The sequence below is a fragment of the Homo sapiens genome, chromosome 4, assembly GCF_000001405.40.
Source record: "Homo sapiens chromosome 4, GRCh38.p14 Primary Assembly".
Taxonomy (NCBI): domain Eukaryota; kingdom Metazoa; phylum Chordata; class Mammalia; order Primates; family Hominidae; genus Homo; species Homo sapiens.
The window spans coordinates 116977168-116983165 of NC_000004.12; the positions used below are offsets into that span (position 1 = coordinate 116977168).

Sequence of the window (5998 nt, forward strand, 5' to 3'; positions counted from 1 at the left end):
TTGTGTTTATCTTTTGGTGGAATGTAAGGAAGTGGCTTGTTAAGGGTGGACATCTTGAAGACGAAATATACTAGGTTGTGTATAATTCTTGTTATGTCATGTTTAGGTGACACTGATGGGCATAATTTTATAATAGCTCCTGCTGTATTTTGCATTTTTATTTCTTAATTTCATAAATTTCAACAAATACTTTCTTCTTTGTTTCAGGAAATGAAAAGGTCATTCTCACAAGTAAATGGATAAGAATTAAACACCTAATTAACTTTAGACCAATTGCCAGCAGAGAATAAGCTCTTCTAGTATTGATATACTGCTAAGAGTTGGCATACTTTTTTCATTTCCCATGGTACATGTCAGAATGCCTCTCACCATGTTCAGAGCTAAATTCTGACAAGTCCGTTTATAAGAAATGACACTAGACACTGCTAGCATATAAAAGGAAATTAAATCTCATATGGAGAAAGATGCCAGTGTCATTTAAGCTAGTATTCAGCTGGAACTGTACCAGGCACTGTTGTTAAAGGTAATTTTGGATTTTTTTTAAACCACACATCTTATGGATTTCTTCTGTTCCAAATGCAAACTTTAGACTTATGCATAACAATTAGCAGTTGTCCCTTTTGATAGACCTAGAATGTAAATGATTAGAATTAATAAGGCAAAACAAAACAAAACTTTGCTAGTTGGTCAACTCTTGCTCTAAGCAACTATCAACATATTATTTCTAATGAAAATTAAAATTTAACGATGAAGAGTATGTGTGAATTTTTAGGTCTTCATTAAAATACCTACTAAAAGACATGAACCCAACTAAGCCTTTTACTCTCTTTCTTCTCTGAATAAAATTCAAACCCCACTTTTCAAAAACAAATGTTGCTTGTTACATGAAGATTTTAGATATTAATTTTGAATTTCAAACATATACCAAGAAGAGTTCTTGGAAACTACTAATTGCTTATACAGTAGTGTTATGGTGAGTATTTACTGCAAAAATGTCTCAAAATGAAAAAGCTCCTTTTATTATATTCTGCTTAATTTAGTCATACTATGCTCAGTGTAAAATGAGTTCTTACTTTCCCCAGAATCAAATTGCATATCAAAACATATTTTATAGTTTATTTTCCCTTTGTATATTACTTTGTCAAAACAATATTGATTAGTAATACAATCAGAATCTATCTCAGTTGCAACTTTCTTTCAACTAATAGTTTCTAGGTTACTTTGGGTTGGAGCAATAGTGAATCAGAGAAACAGTAACAAATATTGGCAATGCAATTTTAGTCTTCTAAAATAATGTTTAGTTATTCACAAATAAAAATAAAAACAAAAGAACAATTTTAGCATCACTAGACAGGAAATGGCATACTGTTTACAAATTAAGTGTAAATAATAATATACTTTGCAATTCTATAACATCTAAGGATTTCAAGGCTTTTTTATTGATATGATTTGCCATAATTTAGTTGTTAGAAGGAATAAAAGATAAAAAGTTTAATAATCCATTGATTGAAATGGGCAATACAGCATGTTTTAATGGAAAAAAACTGGTTGAAATGAAATGAAATGAAAAAAATTGTGTCCCCTTGGGTGGGTTTTTCTATTATGTTACATTCTGATAGCTTTCCTGTAGTTATTTTCTGTTGTGTTTCCTCATGCTATTTCACATGAATTATGAATCATAAATGAAACATTTATATGAATGTTTTACATGTTCACCTGTTGCATTAGCAGGATTTCTAGACAATCCTCAGGATCCCTGGGTTATACACTTTCAAGAAATCTGGCCATGGTGGCTCACACCTCCCAGCACTTTGGGAGGTTGACATGGGAGGACTGCATAAGCCCAGGAGTTTGAGACTAGCCTGGGAAACATGGTGAGACACCATCTCTTCAAAGAAAATAAAAATAAAAATTTACCCAGGCATGGTGGCACGTACCTGTGGTCCCAGATACTTGGGATTGTGAGGTAAGAGGATTGCTTGAGTTCAGAAGATTAATTCTGAAGTGAGCTTGATCACACCCCTTCACTCCAACCTGGACAACAGAGCAAGATGCAATCTCAAAAAGAAAAAATAAAAACAAAACCAACAAACAAACAAAAAGAAAATTCTAAAAATACCTACATGCCTTACACCAAAGTCTCCTAGTCTTCAACAGTTTTTAAGCCCTTGATAAAGTCACTTCCTTTTTATGAGATTCTACTGGAGGGGCTTGTTTCATAAACAATTACCCTGGCTACCTGAGTGATGTGAGTTCTTTGTAATTGTGACACTTCTGTTGCCCATTCCTGTCTGAAATTAAGGCTTCATATATGTTTTGAGTTAATAGGCAAATAGCTTACTCTTATCAGATGATTTTCTCATGCCCAGACCTACCTCTTATATTTGCAGCACATGGATAAAGTTGGAGGTTCACATATGCATACTTAAATATTTAAAATCACAAATAAACAAATGATCATACATAAAATGTGGTCTATACTAAGTTGAAAAATATGCTTTCATAGGAAATAAATAGCTCACAATGTAAACAATGCACTGTAATCCTCAACAACCATGTGTAGCTGTTGGAAATATTTTGTTACTTTGTGATTATCACTGGAATCATGTATTGCGGCACATAAAAAAAACAATAAAAGAGGCCATTTTCACTATCCAGAAAAAATGTTTTGTCATGCAAGAATCTCTGTCTTTAATGTGACCTAAGAAGAAGGATTTGCCATGTTAATAATTTGTCCTTCCTCTTAATAAGACACCTCCCTGCTCAAATCCTGCCACACACCAGTCCCCAGACACAGTATCTATTGGTGAAGCTGGAAGTAGCCTAAACTGCATTTTGTTTTTATATCAAAGCAGAAAAGATGAGGATAAACCCTCTCCTTCCTCTGGAATACATTAATATCTAAAGTATTTAGGGTTATTGGTTTTGCTGTGCCAGATTTGAAGGCTAGATCCTGAGGAATATCTGAAAGTTCTAAAGTCCTAGATTGTGTGTGTGTGTGTGTGTGTGTGTGACAGAGAGAGAGAGAAAAAAAAAAAGAGTTACAACTGAGATATGTTGGAAAGAGAGTTTCTGGGGTGCCAGTTGAGTTGGTCTCCCCTGTGTGAGACACCCATGGGGAGCCATGGGCGGCCTCTGAGGAGAAAAGTCTCGTTATTGCATTCATGTCTTTATGCCGGGAGAGCATAACCGCTCAGCTGCATTCCACAGGTTGCTCAGGGAGATAAAACTCCCTTAAAGCAGTGGAGTATAATCAAACATCTTGGCTCCTCCTGAAACCCACTCCCACCTGTTTCAGTCCCAATAAGTTAAAGATCTTAAGTAGTTAGACACATGCCTTTGCTCAAGGAAATTCACAGAAACCGCCACTGCTATACATCTGATTGAATGACTCACAAGTTCTCCTTCAGTGATTAATCCTTTTCCTCATCCTTTCCTCCCCCTCCCATCTGCCCTAAGAACAAAGAGCTTGTAAACCAATAAATTGGGCGGCGCCCAGAGCTCTAGGCCTTGAGCAAGCCTCCGATGATCCGGTCTCCTGGACCCGCCTTTTAAACGCTTATTCTGTCGCTTTCCAACTCCTTTGTCTTCGCCGGACTCGGGGTACCCGCTGGGTGGTGTGGGGCTGGTTTCCCCAACATCATACATTCTTCTTTTATTACTAATCAATATTATTTTGACAAGATAATATACAAGGGAAAATAAGAGAGACTGAGAACATCTAAAGCACAAGTCTCAGGTTACAGGCTCCTCTTACCTTATCATGTCACCTACATGGTTCTTTCCTTCAAATGTAGCCCTCTGCACCTCAGTATCACTCCGTGCATGGAACAAATGCCCCTTTGGGCATTGCAGCTTTTTGTTTAGGTAGGTCTTTTCTATATAATTTATTTATCCACTGGTGATAATTTCTCAAAGGCCTTATTATTCTTCCTTCCGGAACAGCCTTCTTTCAACCCTCCCAAACCCCACTCCCACCCACAGCTATCAAACAGGTATATGTTTGAACTGGTTCAGACTAACTTTATTATTTATTTATTTATTTACTTATTTATTGAGACGGAGTGTCTGTGGCCCACGCTGGAGAGAACCCACGTAATCTTGGCTCACTGCAACCTCCGTCTCCCAGGTTCAAGGGATTCGCAGATTCTCATGCCTCAGCCTCTCCGGAAGCTGGGACTGCAGGTGCATGCCACCACGCCCGGCTAATTTTTTGTATTTTTAGTAGAGATGGGGTTTCCCCGTTTTGGCCAGTCTGGTCTTAATTGCCTGGCTTCAAGTGATCCATCCGCGTCGGCCTCCCAAAGTGTTGGGATTACAAGCGTGAGCCGCGGTGTCTGACCCAGACTAACTTTAAATTGTTTTCCCGCAGACTTTCTGGATTCCATGCAAATGAAGATAGACTAGCATTTTAAGTGTTTCTGAACAACCTCAGACTTGTGAGAAGTTTCTCAGATTTTTACACCCACCCCAGCCTTCAGCAAAGGACTCTACTAAGATATATCACCTTATTCTATAAACTATAGCTAGTGCTTTTGCTCTTGAAGCCTCAGGAATTATTGCCACATATAACTTCAGCACTTTCTCTCTAAGAAAATAACAATATAATATAAAATGAGATTGTATATGGTATCTTAAATCCCCACACTAAATGTTGCCATCCATGGAATGGATGCAATGGAAGCATCCATTGACATTTAAATTTGGGGAATATGAATTTGGTTATGTTAGCATTAAATTTAACTGTACTCACTTTCACCTCAAAGTTTCTACAAAAATCACCTCAACTGGTAATGTTTCTGGAAGAAAGATGTCAAAAATTTTGGAATTTTTCTTACACCGTATACAAAATATTTTCTACCCAGAGAAAGGGAGAATGACATTAAGTGGGCTGAAATTTATTAGGGAAAGAAATAATAAGAAATACTGTTTGGTCAAGAGATTGTGTTTCTAAGATGACATGAGATACATACATCCTAGTATTAGGAAAGCATTGTTTAGCATTTGGTCTACAAAAAGTAATTACTATAAGTAAGTTTTAATCAATATTTACTATTTATCATGTCAAATAAATTTGCTGGGTCATAATCATAGTAAGCTCATATTTGCAGTAGTATTTTAATTTTTTGATACCTGCTTGCTTTATAGAAGATGTATATATAAATATACCCTATAAAGAGATATGATTAGGAAGATGAGAATAAAAATTATTAAAATATTAATTTCAAAGTTTGGGGGATAAAAATAATGGCAAATGACTCTTTTCTGCTTCTACATATCCTCTGTATTAATTGTCAGGATGCTATTAATGACTGTCATCTTAGTTTAACAATGAGCAATTAAGTATCACCTAAATCTGACAGAGCATATGGTACCAAAAGCTGTAGCGTGCACTCTAATAAATGATACAGCTTCTGTTTCCACTGAGGATAAAAATAAGTTTATGTTGAATGTTAATGGAATGTTTTCTGTTTCTTCTGTCAGATACTTCTTTCAAGTGTACAACAGATGATAGAAATGGATATTTTTCATGCTGCTTAAATTGGATCATTATCCCCTTTATTTGGATAAAAAGTAATCCAGAAAATATGATGCCAGTTGTCTTAGTCCATTTTGTGTTGCTATAACACTATACTCGAGGCTACATAATGTATAAACGTTTATTTGGCTTATGATCCTGCTGGCTGGAAAGACCAAGATTGGACAGCTGCTTCTAGCGAGGACCTTACGCTGCTTCCTCTCATGGCAGAAAGTGAAAGGAGAAGATCATATGGTGAGAGAGGAAACAAGGGATGAAAACCAGGGAAGCCAGACTCTTTTTAACAACCCTCTGTCATGGGAACTAATCCATTTCTCCAAGAGCGAGAACATATTTCAACCCCATAGGAGGGTTTTAACTTATTTATGAGGGATCCACTCCCATGACCCAAACACCTTCTACTGGGGACCACACCCAATATTGCCACATTGGGGATCAAGTTTCAATATGAGTTTTGGA

General features: G+C 36.5%; 1 annotated feature.

Annotated features, from left to right (window-relative positions):
• Nucleotides 2821-4020: an enhancer, noted in NCBI's record as "P300/CBP strongly-dependent group 1 enhancer chr4:117901144-117902343 (GRCh37/hg19 assembly coordinates)". NCBI's record gives its function as "activates an origin of replication core promoter dependent on BRD2, BRD4, P300/CBP, MED14 and CDK7 cofactors, with strong dependence on P300/CBP, by STARR-seq in HCT116 cells {active_cell/tissue: HCT116}" and the evidence as "EXISTENCE:reporter gene assay evidence [ECO:0000049][PMID:35650434]".